Genomic DNA, 19,863 nt, shown 5'->3' on the forward strand with positions numbered 1-19,863 from the left:
CATCTTAAACTCCACTTGTATACAGAAACTGAAAAGAGGGACCTGAATTTCTTCCCTGATTGGAAGATAATATTTGTGTAATTTATTTAAAAATGCAGAAACTGATAACATTTATTTTTCAGGATTTTTAAAGTAAAAACGTTTATTTTATTGTTATTATTGTATATGCTTGGCCATGGCCAGGCTTTTAGAGCCTTCTATGAACTCTGTACATGAACAATCTGAACTCATTGTCCACCTTTCTTTTAATCTGAGCAGTCCCCTTAAATTTCAGGAATATTATTATTTTCAGAGTACAGCCTGTGTGCCACAATTTGCCATTTAATAACATTCCCTTGAATAGATGAATGACATTTTGTATTTGTTAAAGGACTTACTAAACACTTACTGGTTGCCTGAAATCACACCAAAATAAATGTAAATTTTGCTTTTAAATTCCATTGGCAAGAAAGAAGGCTAAAAATACTATATTTTCTGGAAAATACAAAGTGACGGGTCTTGTCTTAAATAAGTATTAATCATATTAGTATCAAATTGCTAAGCACATCTTTAGAGAAAAATTGTTTAGTGAGATAACTGATATTTGCCATGGTATAAATTTCCATTAGCGCTCAGCCCATCAGGTAATACATTTTCTCTTGCAGCTTTAGCTGAAAGTGTCTAATTGCGGGCAAATAATATTCTCAACATGGTAAGCTTCAGAAGAAATACAAAAAAACCCCAGCAGAAATGCAACTAAACTTTGGCTTTTCCAAGGAAGCTTTGGAAATAATTCTTCAAATATGTCAGCCTTAAATGTTTCTAATGGAAGTGTGGGTGGGAAAGAGGGGAAAAGATGCAAGAGAGTAAATGCTGGGTTACCTTTCAGAAAAAAGATAATCTATTATGAGGAGAACATTGACTTGAGCTTACAGCAAAACAATTTTGGTCCATTCTTTACATGTCTTTTACAAATATCTTATCCTCTTTGATCTTCATTTTTCTCCTCTGTAAATGTGAATAATGGTAACTGTGGAAGACAAAATAATACTCTCCTCACCAGAAGATGCCAATATTCTAATCGCTGGAACCAGTGAATATTACTTTACACAATAAAAGCACTTCTGTAGATGTGATTAAAAATATGCATCTTGAGATGGAAAGATTATGCTTGATTAAGTGGGCCCAATCTGATTACATGAGCCCTTAAAGGTGGAGAATTTTTCCTAGATGGAATCAGAAATATGCTAGGACAGATGAAGTAGGAGAGATTTGAAGCATGAGAGAGATTCCTCCTAATGTTCTGGCTTTGATCGGGGGATGAAGCCACGAGCCAAAGAATGTTGCAGCCACTAGATGCTGCAATGGCTCTCAGCTGACAGCCAGCAGGAAAATGAAGACCTTTGTCCTACAACTGCAAGGAACTGAATTCTACCAATAACCTGAATGAGCTGGGAAACAGATTCTCCCCTAGGGCCTCTGGACAGAAAAATATCCCTGTTGACACTATGGCTTTAGCCTGGTGAAACTCTTGGATTTCTAATTTACAGAAATAAGAATTAAATAAATTTGTTATTTAATCCACTATGGTCATTTGTTTAGTAGCAATAGAAAACTCATAGAACAACTCTATCTCACAGAGTTGTGTGATAATTTGTATAAAGTGTGCAGTCCATTGTAAAATACTATATGCAGGCTAATTGTTATCATTGATGCTCTCAGTATCATCATGTTCTATTCTGCTTCTGAACTGCCAACCTTTAAAATGCCACTCTTAGAAAATAATAACTACTATTTACTGAGCATCTACTATGTGCAAGATATTCAACATTTGCCATATAATTTCATCTGTATGAAATGAGATAGAATGCATTAGGTCATTTTACATATATGCTACCTGACAAAAACTTTGACCTTGTTGGATTTCATAAGATTTATATCTCTATCTGTCTTAAGGATAACAGTGTGGGAAAAGTTTAGAAATGTAGCTCCAGTCAATGACAAAGTGCTAGGAGAAAGTTATAAGTTTGCGTTCTTTCCTCTTTTTTGATTACTGCAGATGAAAATTAAAATAGAAACTATCAGAGAAAGAAATGCAGCATTTGAAGTGATTAAATGTAAGCTATTATCCAGTAGTGTTCATGAAAATATGCAAAGTTTACCTTTAGATATTGGCTTTAGAAGATCTCTCCTGCTGAACTGTGGACTGTGATCAGACACAGGCCCCAGTGAGCTGTCTACTGTGTGAGCATTTTGTTTGATGGGAGGAATTGAAGAAGTATGCTCAGTTTGAAAACGAGTCTTAAGGTACAAGGCTTTGAGTCGTGACATCTCAAACATATCTCCATGGACAAAAATATTCTTTGAAAATTAATTGAAGACGCTCAGCTCCATGCTTGGATATATGCTTCCAAAACAGCTACAGCCTTCAGTGATGTTCTTTCATGTAGTCAGAATAAAACTGTTTTTGGCAGGGAGAGGATGCTAGAAATGGCAGGTCACAGGAAGGTAAGCAAATAAGGAAGGTAAGCAAATATTCTGGATTACTTAATGATTTTGATGCTATTTCGCACATTTAAAGGATGATGTCAGTGGAACATACGCTTTAAGAATTTCTGTAAAAATTTTGAGTATCTGCATCCTTGTTCATCAACTCTCTTTCTGATACAATATGTTTGTCTGAGTTTGTGGATAGAGGCTGTGACTTTGGAATAAAATTTCTTGACTGGACAAAGTTAAAGAAAACACATGCAAACACTCATGACCTTAGTTCCAGGGCTGGCCTTAGCCAAAGCTGTTAAGTAGGCAGATTTTCGTTTTTCCAAGACTCTATACTTCTCTATTCTCTGCCCTCTCCTCCATTTCAAAATCTTCCATTGCCAGACACCAAAGTCTTTGTCTTCATGATGTTTAATGATCTAATTTACCTTGGTCTATTATAGACATAGCTGAGGATGTTTGCATTTTAATGGAGCATTTAGTAGGTGTAGTTATTTCAAAGGAGATTTCTAATGGTAGCATGACCACATTTATGGGTAAAGATGTCTTCTTGGAGCCTCTCAAAAAGATATCAATTAACAACCAGTTGCTATTTCATTTCACTGTCCTTTTTCCCTCAGCCCAGGTGGTGGGTGCAGCTAAGTTCCCTGGGCACTAGTTGCTAGTTGTTCAATAGGAACCACCCATATTTATGTTTTCTAGTTACAATCAACATCTCACTAGGGCTGTGAGTGAAAGAAACAGATTTAACTCATATGTGTTAAACATTTAAATCCGTGTTTACAATTAGTCCCACAAAACCTACACTATTATAAGAAATATGGCAAAAGTGCTATCTTAAGGCCCTTGAGCCACTGTTTTCTGTAGAGAAGTGTGGATTATACCTACCCATCAATATAAGACTGGTTATCAGGCTGATACTAATGGTTCGTGTTTAGTACATATTTGTTGAACAGACCAAGGATTTGGACCCTGGGACAAGACACATAGGAGGATCAGGAAAATGGTGCTAATTTCTTATATAAGAACTATTAGTGATTGATAGAAGCCTATGAGACATGATTTTTCAAGTCTGTGCTGGAAAAAAGAGTGTTTTACATGAGGGCAGAAGATTTGGAATGTTGTCTCTTCACCTATCCGTTCCAGATCATCACTATCTCATAGGTTTGAGTTATTTTTGTATCCTAAATGTCCTTATGCTGCTTTGAAAGATCCTAACTAACCCTACACCTCAGGGAAGACTGGAAAAGAGAGACTGATTTGTCGGGGGCATTCTTTCTTCTCAGGCTGGGTAAATCCACGATTTCCTGCTTTTCCTGGGGGAAAGAATTAAACTCTCATCACTATTGATAAGGTACAAATTTAGCATTCTGTTTTGGATCCACTAATATTTAACTGACTGTGTCACACCAATGTCAATGCTAGAGAAAGCCTTGTAGGTATTTGGATTCTTTAGCCAGGATACAATTAAAATATCACTCAGATAATTTAGCATTTCATGCTAAGTGTGACCACAATGACAGCTGCATTGCATGGTATAAGTCTTAGAGTCATTGTAGACCCTTCACATATCATTCATCACTTAAATATTAATGATTTTACCTCTCACATATTTCTTATATACAGCCCTTTCTCTATAGTCCTGTTGCTAGTTGCTCCAGTTCAAGCTCTTATCATTCTAATTTTTATTTTTTTGACATAATTTCATACATGAAGAAAAGTTGCAAAAATGGTAAAATAACTCCAAGATGCCCTTCATCCAAATTCTCCAAATATTAACATTGCATCTACATATTTTTCTTTTTTATGTATATTTTCCTGAATTATTTGAGAAACAGTCATAGTGTCTTTGTACCCCCAAATACCTCATTGTTTATTTTTTAAAACAAGGACTTTTTAATTCCATAACAATAACACAATAATCAAAATCCATTGTGAAATTAACATTGACACGATACTATCACCTAATTTATAGATCTTATTGAGGAGTCCAGTTTGTCATGTAATGTCCTTGAGGCAGAAGAAAATCCCATGCCATGCCTTGCATTCTCTGGTCATACTTCTTTAGCCTACTTTCACCAGTCTTTCTTTGTCTTTCATGATACTGACATTTTTGAAGCGGAAAGGCCAATTGTTTTGTAGACTGTCCTTCAATTTGGGTTTGTCCAATGATTATTCTTGATTAGATTCAGGTATGTATTATTGGCAAGACTATTGGGGATGTGATGTTGTGTCCTTCTTAGTGCTTCATATGGGGAAGCACATCATGGCCATTTGCCCTATTACTGAGCTGTCAACCTTGATCACCTAGTCGAGGTGGTGTCTGCTAGTTTTGTTTTGTTTTGTTTTTGAGATGGAGTCTTGCTGTCACCCAGGCTAGAGTGTAGTGGTATGATCTCAGCTCACTACAGCCTCCACCTCCCAGGTTCAAGCAATTATCCTGCCTCAGCCTTCTGAGTAGCTGGGACTACAGGCACATGCCACCACACCCGGCTAATTTTTGTATTTTTAGTAGAGATGGGGTTTCACCATGTTGGCCAGGCTGGTCTTGAACTCCTGAGCTCAAGTGATCTGCCTGCCTCAGCTTCCCAATGTGCTGGGATTACGGACATGAGCCACTGCACCAGGCCGGTCGGTGTCTGCTAGTTTCTATATTGTAAAATTACTACTTTCTCTTTTGTAATTAGTAAGTATCTAGAGAGGAGGCCCTCCTCATTTTTCGCCAAAATTATGTGATCCCTCTGTGCTGTATATTGATGGTTAGTCCCACTGCATTTCCTTCCTTCCCTTCTCCATTCTGCTTTGGGCTTACTAGGTTCACTGGGGTGGACTATGTCAGTCTGGTCCTCTGGTGTCTGGTTGGGTTAGTCAAGGGGGAGTCAGTCCTGCAGGAGATCTGAAAAGGGTGAAGAATGAGGTCCAGGGCTATTTCCACTTAGTTTCCTCCCCATAGTTTACCCTCCTCTAGGACATGCTCTGTTCCTCAATGGAAGGTCAGGCAGACCATCTCTCAGGCTGAAGCTCTGGGTTTTGTAACTGCCTCCACCCTTTGTTTGCTTCAAGATTAAGGATTGAAAAAACATCCCTTGTAGTTTCCCTACACTCTTTACATTCTTCCCAAACCTTTGTAAACTCTCTTCACGTTTCCCAATTTGAATGTTGTATTGGGCTGTCCCTCTGTTGCTATAAAGAAATACCTGAGACTGGGTAATTTATTTTATTTTTATTTATTTATTGATTGATTTTTAAAATTTTATTATTATTATACTTTAAGTTTTAGGGTACATGTGCACAACGTGCAGGTTTGTTACATATGTATACATGTGCCATGTTGGTGTGCTGCACCCATTAACTCGTCATTTAGCATTAGGTATATCTCCATTTATAAGAAAAGAGGTTTAGTTGGCTTATGGTTCTGCAGGCTGTACAGGAAGCATACCATTCATCTGCTTCTGGAAAAGTCTCAGGGGGCTTACAATCATGGTAGAAGCCCAAGGGGGAGCAGGCACATCACATGGTGAAAGCAGGAGCAAGAAAGAGAGAGAGAGAGAGAGCATGAGGTGCCACACTTTTAAACAGCCAGATCTTGTGAGAACTCACCCTCATGAAGACAGCACCAAGCTATGAGTGATCTGCCCCCATGATCCAAACACCTTCTACCAGGCTCTGTCTCCATCATTGGGGATTACGATTCAACATGAGATTTGGGCAGGGGCAAATATTCAGACTTCCCACTAAGAGCCTTACCGCGCAGTCTTCTACTGCACTGTTTGGAACTTTCTTTCCTATTTTCTCTCAGTTGCAGATACTGCTCACTGGTCTTCAATACAGTCTCAACCCTGACTACTTCTTGTGTCAGACCTGACCCAGGCAGAAAGAACACTGGATGCCAAAGGCATCAGGGAACTGGATCTAAGATGAGCTGTTCTGCTCTGCAGCTAGTCCTCCAGCATGCCTGGGGATTTTCCTTTACTCCCACATCACTGGCATAGCTTGTGCCAGCTGAATTCTGCCTTGGTTTTCTGCTTTGCATTCTCATCTCCATTTGGGATGGAGTCTTTCACTGACCCAGTATTTTTTTTTTTTTTTCAGTAGGGCTGTAAGGCTCTAAAATATCGCTTCACTCTGCTGGTACCCTTCTCCAGAATGTTGGACCCTCACCCTCAGATCCCCATTTATTTTCTGAAATCATGTTTGGGATAGAATGGTTCTCCCAGGTGGGCCATCTTTCTTCAGTTTGCCCTTCCACACCCCTCCCCACCCAGTTCTTCTTTGTTTTCCCTTCCCCTCTCCATACTGACCCATGTGAACTTATCATCCCTTGCCTTCTGGCTTCTAGCTGGGTTTGGCTAATGGGGAATGCTGGCAGGAGATTCAAGGGAGTGACTGAGTGAGATAGGAATATTTATACCACTAGCTTCCTCCCTTTGGGGTTACCTTGAGCTGCTCACTTCTTTCCACTGAAGGTCAGAGCTCCTCTCCAGGTGGTCCTCTGCTTCCAGAGGATGTTCTTGGAACTGTTCCCACTCTTCACCCTTTCTGGCCTAGGGTAGATTACAGCCTAGCTGAGCACTGGGGTATTGCATTCTTTGTTGTGGTCTAGTCTTACATTGTTAAAAATAATCCTTTTATCAAACCTTCTTCAATTATCCTAACCTGACTGTGATGAATGCTTCCTTCTGTGACCCTGAATGAAGCAGCTTCTATGGACAGCCCTTTCTGCCTTGGTGGATCATCTAGCGTCTGAAACATTTTGCTAGACTCAGTGGATCTGATACTGATGACAGCTGCAACCAAGCTTGAGGATCACTGTGCTATTTTGCAGTGGTCATTTGATTGTAGACTACTTCTTTGGGCACCAGCCCTATACCTGGGTCAGTTTCTCCCAGCTTTGTCCCTGCCCAGTCCTAGACTCATTCCCCTCATCACCTACCCTGTTAAAGTATCAGCATGCCTTGTGCAGAAGCAATGGTTGCGCAAGTGAAAACACAAGTCTCCCTATCTGTAAGCTACGTGAGACAGACTTTTGGTTTAGACCTGTCCCTTGTGATATCAGGACAGACCCCAGAAAAGTCTTCTAATCCCATGCTACTATGGATGTAAGGATGTGTCTAAAATATTCATACATATACCACCAAAGACATGCTTTTTAATATGAAAGTACAATTTAGTATGCTAATTTAAATTTGCAGTTGGTTTAGATATTGAAACATTAGTATAATAAGCTTAATTCTGCTAGCATTTACTGTCAAGAATATCCCGTACCTACTTGATTACCCTGTAAATCTCTCCATCTATGGAGATATTTGAAAGTGTTTTAAAAATTGAGCTAATAGATTACTAGTCATGTTTTAATATTTTCAGCTTATCATTGTTTTTAAAATAATAAAATTTTCACATAGTTCAGCAATGTTACTTTGTGAATATCTTAAGTTGTGTCAGATTCAAAGGATAATTCATAGTGAATTGCTCTAAATTGCAATATGTTACTTTGAAGCCTTTTTTGAGTAAGCTTGCCTTATGAGATCATTACATTTGGAGTTTTCTAGTATGTTATTTTTGTAGCATATTAACTCTACTTGTTGGTAATGTTTGAATTCTGTAATTTTTGGTGGGATATTACCTATTATGATGTTTTAGAATTGCTATTTCTACTTAGTTTTGAGTTGGTATATGCATGATTTGACAGGCTTTGCTATTTGGCTTATGTTAAATGACTGATTGTCTTGGTCATTTCCTAATGAGCTTGTGTTTATTTCTGTTGAGGTTGGCATTAATAGATCTTCTCAGAAAATATGCCAAGGACTGACCTGGAATAGACTCTAAGTGAATTTTCAGCTTTGAGGATATTTCTTCTATGTCAGGATTGAGGCCAGCTAGTACCACCGTGTACTAGGACAGAATTGTCAATGACCACCTTTTTCCTATTCTGTGAATTAAAGGGACCATCGAAACTACTTAGTCAAAGATATTAAATAAATTTATTAGTTAGAAGACAAGCAACATCTAGGATCTCATTTGGCATATTCTAAGGCCCAATGCACTTATAGTAAAGACAGATAGAGGAGGAATTTTCAGTAGAGATCATAAACAATTGTGTGAATTTCTGCTTATAGCCAGTGTTTTAATATTGAGGGCTAGCTGTTTATTTGCTTATTGGTTATTCTTTTGTTGTTGTCTATTTGACCCTTATTTGCTATATACGCAGTTATTAAAGATTAAAAGAAGAGAAAACATTCAGGAGAAAAGCTATAAATAACTTGATAAAGTTAAGTTTTAATTTCGTCCCAGTTAATTTGAGCTGTCAGTATCCCTTTGCGATTTGAAGTACATGGAATATTAGTGTTTGGAGAGACCCTAGAAATGATTGGTTGAGCTCTGATTTATTGATTAGGAAAGTGCTTGAACAGTTTACAACTTTACTAGGGCTTAATTTGCTAATAATTTTATCCTGTTTTGTAAAAATAGCTGTGATAAAATAATGTAATAATTCTGCTTACAGATACATTTTTAAAAATTGTTGGGAGAGGCAGTATAACATTTTGTCTGCTGTTGTTTTACATGACCAAACTCATAATAATAAAATGAGGATAACTGCACAGATATCAGGAGCCTGAAAGAGGTCTAACTAATTAAATACTAGGATTTCTTGCCCCTGCTCCCTGAGTTTTATTAAAATTTCTGCTTCTCTACTGCTAGATTTCTTGTTGACTTGGTCTAGTTTATTGCTAGCCCTTGACCTGGGAATCTACGCTATTTAACTTTGTTGTGTTATACAATATAGAAGGCAAGTGGAAAAATGCAAAGGAGCCTCATGGCAAATGAGATTTGGACTTCCCCAGACATCTTTATCTAGCCGTGCAAACCAACCTGTTAGTGGAAACACCCTAAGTCCTGTGCCCATATCTTAGCTTCCAGATATAATGTGGCTGTGAAGTAGCAGGGGCAGGGAAAAGTAATCAGGTCATTTGTAGAAACATTTCTTCTCACTTTGATACCTGAAAATTGAAAGCTGACAATTTAACCACTGACAATGAGAATGCTGTCACGATGCTAATGTTCAGGCAGGTTCCTTTCTAATAGTCATGTTTTATTAGAGCAGTACCCCTTTATTCCCCAAAGATGGGGAAAACATACAGTGATGCTATGGACTTCTGAGAAATACCTTCTGCTCAGATTGAATACCTAGGTGACAAAGTGAGAATGTATTAATTCATGGACTAGGTACATAGTTGGCCCTTTTGATAATTGAATCAAGAGACTACCTTGATAGTCTACCTTGTCTTCCTTAAAGTAGGTTTATAGCTTACCTTAAGGCTAAAATCAATTTAAGTAAAGATAGTGAGAACCCTGGCTGAAAATCTCTCCGAACTCCTAACATTGACTTAGCCTGCCTAAAGTAGCTGAGCACCAGGTGTTTTCACCCTGCCTCATTTTTCTTATCAGCCAGCCTCCCAGGCTGTTAACTTATGACAGTTGAGACTCTTCAATATTGAGGTCAGAGGAAAACTGGTCCAGGACTGAAGCTGAATATTATTAGCATGCTGCTGATACCATCCTGAGGTACCAAATCACTGACCCCAGCTTTAGAAAACATTAAATAGTTTTCAGGCCTAAGGACAGGACACATGATTTGGGTCTTTGAAGTTGATACTTTTATGTCAAATTTAGCTTTGGGATACAAGTGAACTGACATAACTAATTGCCTTAGTTGCCGAAAATGTGGCTTTAAAGCAGGAAAATATCAGTTACTGTTTAAGTCAAATTATACTATGAAAGCTTTGCACTTACAAAATGATTTCACATGCATTGTCTCCACTGATTCTCCTAATAATCCAGCAGTGCAGGCCAGGAGATAGTTTCATTCTATTTCACAGATGACAAATTGGAGAGCTATAAAGGCTGAGAGATTTTCCCATGGATACTGTGGAGTTGATATCTGATCTTCTGGCTCCTAGTCCAGCACTCTTTCCACTGTGCTACACTGTCTGTCTGAGAGAGATAGACCTTCAATCAGCCAGCCAGCCAGCCAGCCTATCAGCTAAGTGGGCTGTGCACATAGGGGATCCAGAGCTATGTATTAGTCATTGTACACCAGGCACATATTGCTTTTCTCTTTGTAAATCCAAAATGACTAGGTAAAGAATTTCATCTGTTTGGTAATCATGTTGGTTAAAATGTGCACAATGCAACAAATTTACAAATTAATTATCCTGAAAACTTTGGACGAAAATTACATTCCACATTGTGCTTGTTTATTATAATTTAAAAATATATTTGTTGAAATTTTTCTATGGGTTATTCTTTCCATTTCTTTTAGGTGAATGAAACAACTCATTTACTTTGAACTTCTTGAAAGACTGTAAGTATACACACACACACACACACACACACACACACACACTAAATGTCCTATGGTCTGTGTTTCCACATTTTAAAAAAAATCTATTTAGTGATCAGAAAGGCAGTGCATTTTGGTATCTATAATGCAAAGAAGGAAAACATGAATAGACCTAGAGTTTTAAAGTCAATACATTATTATCTAATCCTATATTATTAAAAGAAGGAAGAATAAAAAGAATAAAGAGAGAAGGAAAGGAAGAAAGGGAGGAAGAAAAAAGTGGAAACTGGACAAATAGAAGTCTGAAATAAAGAATAAACAATAAAGAAATAATAAAGCCTGTGTCAACTATTTATTTTGTAATTTCACGTGCCTGCTAATGTAAAGATACTAACTTTGCTATTGTAGAGATCTAAGGCATATATTAGCTCTGTTTTCCTGTATTCTTGTTCATTTTTGCTCTCTGAAAGCTTCCCCTTTTTTCTTCCACAAATGTGGTTTCATATCTGGTGTAGCATAAGTATTACCTGTCCTCCACTTAGCCTACCAGACATTCCACGGTATTTATAAATAGTTTAAATTTTTAGTTTTTATTTTGCCCTATTGCTTTCTCCAATAACAGCCCTGACCTCAAAGATCACAGAGATGAGTTTAAGAGTTGAAAAAATAAACATAGGCATCCCCTAACTAAGGTGGCTCCTAGTACTAAATACATAAATTTTATGCTCAAGACATAGATGTTGAAGAATAAATACCCTAAGGGTGGCAAATATTAGGGTGACTGGCCCTTCTGCCCACATTTTTTTAGTGGTTATGGCTCTTTGGGGGTTCTTAGGAAACAAAGAAACACAGAGACTATTTAGCAGGAAAAATCTTAGGAAATTTTACTTACCATACAGTGCTTATCATACAGTACAGTCAGACACTAACCTGGATTAAATCTGATTCTAAGGAAGTTTCATAAAGATTTTGAATTTATGCTTCCAGTACAGAAGCAAAAGATATATGATTGGCACCTCCAGCAAGAACTCTGCATGTTGAGACATGGTGATATTAATACAACAGTTCAGGGATATTATCAGTTAAGCAGATTTTTGTAGGATGCCACAAGGACTTAACTGTCAGGTAAAACATTGATAGATCATGAAAGGGGAAGGTTGGCAGTTTCTCATGGACTGTATGCTGTTATGTTTGTAAAAGCACAATGGCTGAACACTGAGGGAATGAAAAATTATGGTTATACTGCTCTGGAATTTAAATGAAAGACAGCACTCATAGAGGGGAGGAGGTAGAGGTGAACATTAGGCCTGAATTCCAAATTTCATGGTAGGATATGGGCTGGGGAAACTCACTTGGATTCTAGGACTTGCTGCAGACCATCCAAGAAAAATGTGTCTTTTGGCCATCATTTCAGAAATAGCACACATCAGAAATTCCAATCAATTGGGTGGGGCACGTTGGCAGATACTATGGTGATCAAAACTCTTTTTTCATTTATTTGCTTGTTTGTTTATTTAATTTTTATAGCAGCAGATCTTGGGAGTCTTGGGTTACTTAAAAGGACATGGAAACTGTTAGAATGAAATTTTTCAACCATATGACATTCATTATGTCATGGAAGTCAGGTAAAGCCCTAGTTCAAACTAACATAAAATTTTTACCAAGAATTTTAAAGCTCTAATATTGAAACATTTTTCTGAATATATAATTCCATCCCTCTCCTGGTTATCCAGGCAGCCCATTTAACAAAAAGAGCAATGTTTCTTGTCCAGGGACTTTGAACACTTCTTTGTTACTTACAGACTTTCAACATTATGAAATCTTATCAGAAGCTTACATATCACTTCCATCAGAGACAGCTGGAGATAGCAGAAATGTTCAAAAGTGACTACTTAGGGCAACAGAAACAACCAAAGGAACACAAAAATCAGTATCTGGCAATTCTTGGCCCTTTGCTTTAGGGTGACAGCAAACTTCTGGTAGAAAAGTGGAGACAAGTTGGTTTGCTTTTTCTTTTTTGACTGTTAAAAATTCAACCTTTCGGCCAGGCACGGTGGCTCATGCTTGCAATCCCAGGACTTTGAGAGGCCCAGGTGGGTGGATCACTTGAGCTTAGGAGTTTAAGACCAGCTTGGACAACATGGTAAAACCCCGTCTCTACAAAAAAATACAAAAATTAGCAGGGCATGGTGACGCATGCTTGTAGTCCCATCTACTTGGGAGGCCAAAGTGGGAGAATTACTTGAGCCCGGGAGGAGGAGGTTGCAGTGGGCCAAGAACATGCCACTGCACTCCAGTCTGGGCAACAGTGAGAGACCCTGTCTAAAAAAAAAATAATTCAACCTCTGTAAACCTAGATCTATGCAACCTTAATTTAGCAATATCATTCAATATCAAGAATGTCCAAAATCAATCTATAGTGATAGATCCCAAGTGACTGCTCTGGGCTTAACCTCAAAATACTTAGGTTTGATGCAACACTCATTTGAAGGCACAATAGGCAATGGGCATGTAATTATATAGAAATGTATGCTTTGGGGATTGCTATTTTAACTGGCACTGCAAAGACTGCAGTGCATTTGTGGTACCAGGGAGCAAGAATGTCTGATGGATGTTGAGAGTTCTAAGGAACCCTGCTTGTATTTCACTGTGTTCTGTGTAATGTCTCTGGCTTCTGTCAAACAAGTAAATAGATCAGCATTTTCCAGCTTTTTTTTTTTTTAACTTAAACACATCTCAATGAAATATATAATCTATCAAAGTCCCTTAGAAGTTAAAAAAAATTATTTGTGTGATATATGATAAAGAAGTGATTTTAAAGGCAAGGAAACTTTTCAGATCAGTATGTCTTTAAAGATTATGGTATACATTTACATTCCTTTTCTTCATATTGTTTTTATATGCATTGTGCAATAGTCACTATACATTTAAATGTACCTTTAAGCTTTAGAAAATGTTTAATTTTCCTGAATTTTATTGTAAGACAAAAGGTGATACAGATAGCCCTCGGAGGTGAAATATAAGCAGGGAAAAAACATGATTTACTGATAAATCAGTTAAAAATAATAGTACATCATGTTTCATTTGGGACTAAATAGATATTGCAGCATACACTAAAATTTAACTTCATTTCATGCATCAAACCTTGACAAAAAAGTGCTTTTGTACCTATACTTAGAATTCTTACATTTTGCTTTATAAAAAGCTAGCTTATTTTTGTAATTTTTGTCTTTTGTTTCTAAATGGTAGGGTAAGAGAGAAATTTTCAAGCTGCTATTTCTAAGCACTTATCCACAAATAACATATTGAGGGTTTATAAAGTCTTTATTCATAACAAATTATGAGTCAAATTGAATAAAATGTTATCGTATTTTCTTTTTCAACAATGGTTTTTAAAACGCTAGAAGTACATTGATGTGCCAGCTAAAATTTTTGATCGGATGCATGCAATTTATAAATTCAGTGTTGATTATCTTGAAGAAAATTTTCAGAATTATCATTTTTATACTCCTTAACAAAATTATACATTGCAAACTGCTAAGATTTGAATTCTTCCTCAAAACTCATGATGAAATTTAGTTGCCAGTGTAACAGTATTGGGTGATGAGGCCTTTAAAAGGTAGGTCGTGAGGACAAAGTCCTTCATTAATCCATTAATGGATTAAAGCCGTTATTGAGGGAGTGGGCTATGGATAAAACGGTGAAGTTTGGCCCCCATTTCTCTTTCTGTCTTGTGCGTTTGCTTGCCCTTTTGCCACAGGATAACACAACATAAAGGCCCTCACAAGATGCCAGAGCCATGCTGTTGGACTTCCTGGTCTTCAGAACTGTGAGAAATATATTTCTTTTCTTTATAAATTACTCAGTCTTCAGTGTTCTGTTACAGTGGCAGTAAATGGGCTAAGACAGAAATAATAGAATTCTATTCTTAAAAAAGAGGTAAAAAGAGAATTGACTAGACTATTCTGGGGTGACTCACACCATCAAAGAAATCTCAAGGACCAGGTTTGTAAAGGAGTAAAAATCTGGGAACTCTTAAGATCTTGTGAGCAGTAGCTAATTAATAGTTCTATCAGAGTGTCATCACAGAGATGAATCAGCATCTGTGACTTTTTTCCTATCCTTGGCCAATTCACTTTCTTGGGCAAGAATAAGGATTGGCCAGGGGCAGCAGTAACCCAGAATAGGGCAATCCAATTCCCTTTCCTGCTTAGGAAGGGAAGAGGATTGGATTGCCCTATTCTGGGTTACATGCTCACTGCTTGGCTATGGGAGAGAGGAGTGCCTTGATTGACAATCTCTTTTATTGTACACATTATGGAAGAGGTATTGGTATTTTCCCACAAGGAAATTATGGCGCTATCATCAGAAGGTGCTGTGTGAACATGAATAACACGTGCTAACAGGTATGCCTTTTTGTCCCCAGTCATTCATTCATTACAGGTGTTAAGTTATATAATGTATGACTAAGAATAAAAATTAGAATAAGTAATTGAAGAATACGTACAACATTTGATTAATAGTATTAACCTGGGTAATAAATTGACTGAAGCATATCTATCTCATTACCATTGGGTGCTATGAATGTTCCATTGATAAACTTCTTGGAGACTATAAGAAGCTTCTTATTTAAAGAAAAACTATTTTAAAGAAACCATTTTAAAGAAAACTATTATTTTACTTATTAGTTTAACATGCCCCCTCCCACTGCGGTAGTATAGTTTTTAGGCTTCTTGACATTCATTGCACTTTCCCATGGCAGCATTACCCCAGTTTTCCATTTGTCTCAGGGGAAAACAACTTCATCTCCAGCACCATGGTTGGGCCCTGATGAACTGAAGCCAAGATTTTTCACCTGACCTCAAGGATTAGGTCCCACTGGACCAACCTGGGCCAAAGATGAACAAGTCTATATTTTCTGGGGACTTCTGGGGAAGATGAATTCTTGTTTTTTCCTCAGAATTTATGTGAAAAGACACATTTTTTTTTTCCTCTGGGTGGTATGCATGCAATGGTTTGAATGTATTCCTCATAAAGCATGTGTTGGAAGCTTAATCCCCAATGCAACAGTGTTGCGAGGCAGGGCCTAATGGGAGATATTTGGGTTATGAGGGCTCTATCCTCATGAATGGATAGAGGCCAATGATAAAAGGCTCAAGACTGTGAGTTTTGCCTCTTGCTGTCTCTTGCACTCCCTGTCCCTCACCTTCTGCCATAAGATGATGCAGCAATAAAGCCCTTATCAGATGCTGGCCCTTTTATCATGAACTTTCCAGCCTCCAGAACCATGAAAAATAAATTTCTGTTTGTTATAAGTTGTCCAGTCTCAGGTATTCTGTTATAGCAACACTAAATGAACTAAGGCAGTAGCTTACAGATATGAGCCTAACATTGCTGCGGCATTTTGTTAAAATTAGAGGTGTCAAGTCTAAAGTCAAAGTTGAAACAAGAAGGAGAGTAAATACAATAGAAGTACAGAGAAATGGAGTTGGGGCCCATAGAATCAAACTGCACCTGAAGCTGTCATTACTTGTGTGCCTTAAATGAGCCCCAAATGTATTTTGTTTATTTATTTTATTTTTTTTATTATTTTTTTTCTTTTCTTTTTATTATTATACTTTAAGTTTTAGGGTACATGTGCACATTGTGCAGGTTAGTTACATATGTATACATGTGCCATGCTGGTGCACTGCACCCACTAACTCGTCATCTAGCATTAGGTATATCTCCCAATGCTATCCCTCCCCCCTCCCCCCACCCCACAACAGTCCCCAGAGTGTGATGTTCCCCTTCCTGTGTCCATGTGATCTCATTGTTCAGTTCCCAACTATGAGTGAGAATATGCGGTGTTTGGTTTTTTGTTCTTGCGATAGTTTACTGAGAATGATGATTTCCAATTTCATCCATGTCCCTACAAAGGACATGAACTCATCATTTTTTATGGCTGCATAGTATTCCATGGTGTATATGTGCCACATTTTTTAAATCCAGTCTATCATTGTTGGACATTTGGGTTGGTTCCAAGTCTTTGCTGTTGTGAATAATGCCGCAATAAACATACGTGTGCATGTGTGTTTATAGCAGCATGATTTATAGTCCTTTGGGTATATACCCAGTAATGGGATGGCTGGGTCAAATGGTATTTCCAGTTCTAGATCCCTGAGGAATCGCCACACTGACTTCCCCAATGGTTGAACTAGTTTACAGTCCCACCAACAGTGTAAAAGTGTTCCTATTTCTCCACATCCTCTCCAGCACCTGTTGTTTCCTGACTTTTTAATGATTGCCATTCTAACTGGTGTGAGATGGTATCTCATTGTGGTTTTGATTTGCATTTCTCTGATGGCCAGTGATGATGAACATTTTTTCGTGTGTTTTTTGGCTGCATAAATGTCTTCTTTTGAGTAGTGTCTGTTCACGTCCTTCGTCCACTTTTTGATGGGGTTGTTTGTTTTTTTCTTGTAAATTTGTTGGAGTTCATTGTAGATTCTGGATATTAGCCCTGTGTCAGATGAGTAGGTTGCGAAAATTTTCTCCCATTTTATAGGTTGCCTGTTCACTCTGATGGTAGTTTCTTTTGCTGTGCAGAAGCTCTTTAGTTTAATTAGATCCCATTTGTCAATTTTGGCTTTTGTTGCCATTGCTTTTGGTGTTTTAGACATTAAGTCCTTGCCCATGCCTATGTCCTGAATGGTAATGCCTAGGTTTTCTTCTAGGGTTTTTATGGTTTTAGGTCTAACGTTTAAGTCTTTAATCCATCTTGAATTAATTTTTGTATAAGGTGTAAGGAAGGGATCCAGTTTCAGCTTTCTACATATGGCCAGCCAGTTTTCCCAGCACCATTTATTAAATAGGGAATCCTTTCCCCATTGCTTGTTTTTCTCAGGTTTGTCAAAGATCAGATAGTTGTAGATATGCGGCATTGTTTCTGAGGGCTCTGTTCTGTTCCATGTATCTGTATCTCTGTTTTGGTACCAGTACCATGCTGTTTTGGTTACTTTAGCCTTGTAGTATAGTTTGAAGTCAGGTAGAGTGATGCCTCCAGCTTTGTACTTTTGGCTTAGGATTGACTTGGCGATGCGGGCTCTTTTTTGGTTCCATATGAACTTTAAAGTAGTTTTTTCCAATTCTGTGAAGAAAGTCATTGGTAGCTTGATGGGGATGGCATTGAATCTATAAATTACCTTGGGCAGTATGGCCATTTTCACGATATTGATTCTTCCTACCCATGAGCATGGAATGTTCTTCCATTTGTTTGTATCCTATTTTATTTCCTTGAGCAGTGGATTGTAGTTCTCCTTGAAGAGGTCCTTCACATCCCTTGTAAGTTGGATTCCTAGGTATTTTATTCTCTTTGAAGCAATTGTGAATGGGAGTTCACTCATGATTTGGCTCTGTTTGTCTGTTGTTGGTGTATAAGAATGCTTGTGATTTTTGTACATTGATTTTGTATCCTGAGACTTTGCTGAAGTTGCTTATCAGCTGAAGGAGATTTTGGGCTGAGACAATGGGGTTTTCTAGATATACAATCATGTCATCTGCAAACAGGGACAATTTGACTTCCTCTTTTCCTAATTGAATACCCTTTATTTCCTTCTCCTGCCTAATTGCCCTGGCCAGAACTTCCAACACTATGTTGAATAGGAGTGGTGAGAGAGGGCATCCCTGTCTTGTGCCAGTTTTCAAAGGGAATGCTTCCAGTTTTTGCCCATTCAGTATGATATTGGCTGTGGGTTTGTCATAGATAGCTCTTATTATTTTGAAATACGTCCCATCAATACCTAATTTTTTGAGAGTTTTTAGCATGAAGGGTTGTTGAATTTTGTCAAAGGCCTTTTCTGCATCTATTGAGATAATCATGTGGTTATTGTCTTTGGCTCTGTTTATATGCTGGATTACATTTATTGATTTGCGTATATTGAACCAGCCTTGCATCCCAGGAATGAAGCCCACTTGATCATGGTGGATAAGCTTTTTGATATGCTGCTGGATTCGTTTTGCCAGTATTTTATTGAGGATTTTTGCATCAATGTTCATCAAGGATATTGGTCTAAAATTCTCTTTTTTGGTTGTGTCTCTGCCCGGCTTTGGTATCAGAATGATGCTGGCCTCATAAAATGAGTTAGGGAGGATTCCCTCTTATTCTATTGATTGGAATAGTTTCAGAAGGAATGGTACCAGTTCCTCCTTGTACCTCTGGTTGAATTTGGCTGTGAATCCATCTGGTCCTGGACTCTTTTTGGTTGGTAAGCTATTGATTATTGCCACAATTTCAGATCCTGTTATTGGTCTATTCAGAGATTCAACTTCTTCCTAGTTTAGTCTTGGGAGGGTGTATGTGTCGAGGAATTTATCCATTTCTTCTAGATTTTCTAGTTTATTTGCGTAGAGGTGTTTGTAGTATTCTCTGATGGTAGTTTGTATTTCTGTGGGATCGGTGATGATATCCCCTTTATCATTTTTTATTGGGTCTATTTGATTCTTCTCTCTTTTTTTCTTTATTAGTCTTGCTAGCAGTCTATTTCGTTGATCCTTTCAAAAAACCAGCTCCTGGATTCATTAATTTTTTGAAGGGTTTTTTGTGTCTCTATTTCCTTCAGTTCTGCTCTGATTTTAGTTATTTCTTGCCTTCTGCTAGCTTTTGAATGTGGTTGCTCTTGCTTTTCTAGTTCTTTTAATTGTGATGTTAGGGTGTTAATTCTGGATCTTTCCTGCTTTCTCTTGTGGGCATTTAGTGCTATAAATTTCCCTCTACACACTGCTTTGAATGCATCCCAGAGATTCTGGTATGTTGTGTCTTTGTTCTCGTTGGTTTCAAAGAACATCTTTATTGCTGCCTTCATTTCGTTATGTACCCAGTAGTCGTTCAGGAGCAGGTTGTTCAGTTTCCATGTAGTTGAGTGGTTTTGAGTGAGATTCTTAATCCTGAGTTCTAGTTTGATTGCACTGTGGTCTGAGAGATAATTTGTTATAATTTGTGTTCTTTTACATTTGCTGAGGAGAGCTTTACTTCCAAGTATGTGATCAATTTTGGAATAGGTGTG

At 37.8% G+C, this 19,863-nt stretch overlaps 1 long non-coding RNA gene across 1 annotated transcript in view; it reads left to right on the plus strand.

Moving 5' to 3' along the window:
• The window catches only part of LOC107984543 (uncharacterized), a 104,864-nt gene that overhangs the window by 77,926 nt on the left and 7,075 nt on the right, over window positions 1–19,863 (plus strand). The window contains exons 3-4 of the long non-coding RNA XR_007063399.1: window positions 10,799–10,840; window positions 14,580–14,648. This is a non-coding gene — a long non-coding RNA (uncharacterized LOC107984543). The remainder of the gene's footprint in view (window positions 1–10,798; window positions 10,841–14,579; window positions 14,649–19,863) is intronic.

The sequence above is a fragment of the Homo sapiens genome, chromosome 12, assembly GCF_000001405.40.
Source record: "Homo sapiens chromosome 12, GRCh38.p14 Primary Assembly".
NCBI lineage: Eukaryota > Metazoa > Chordata > Mammalia > Primates > Hominidae > Homo > Homo sapiens.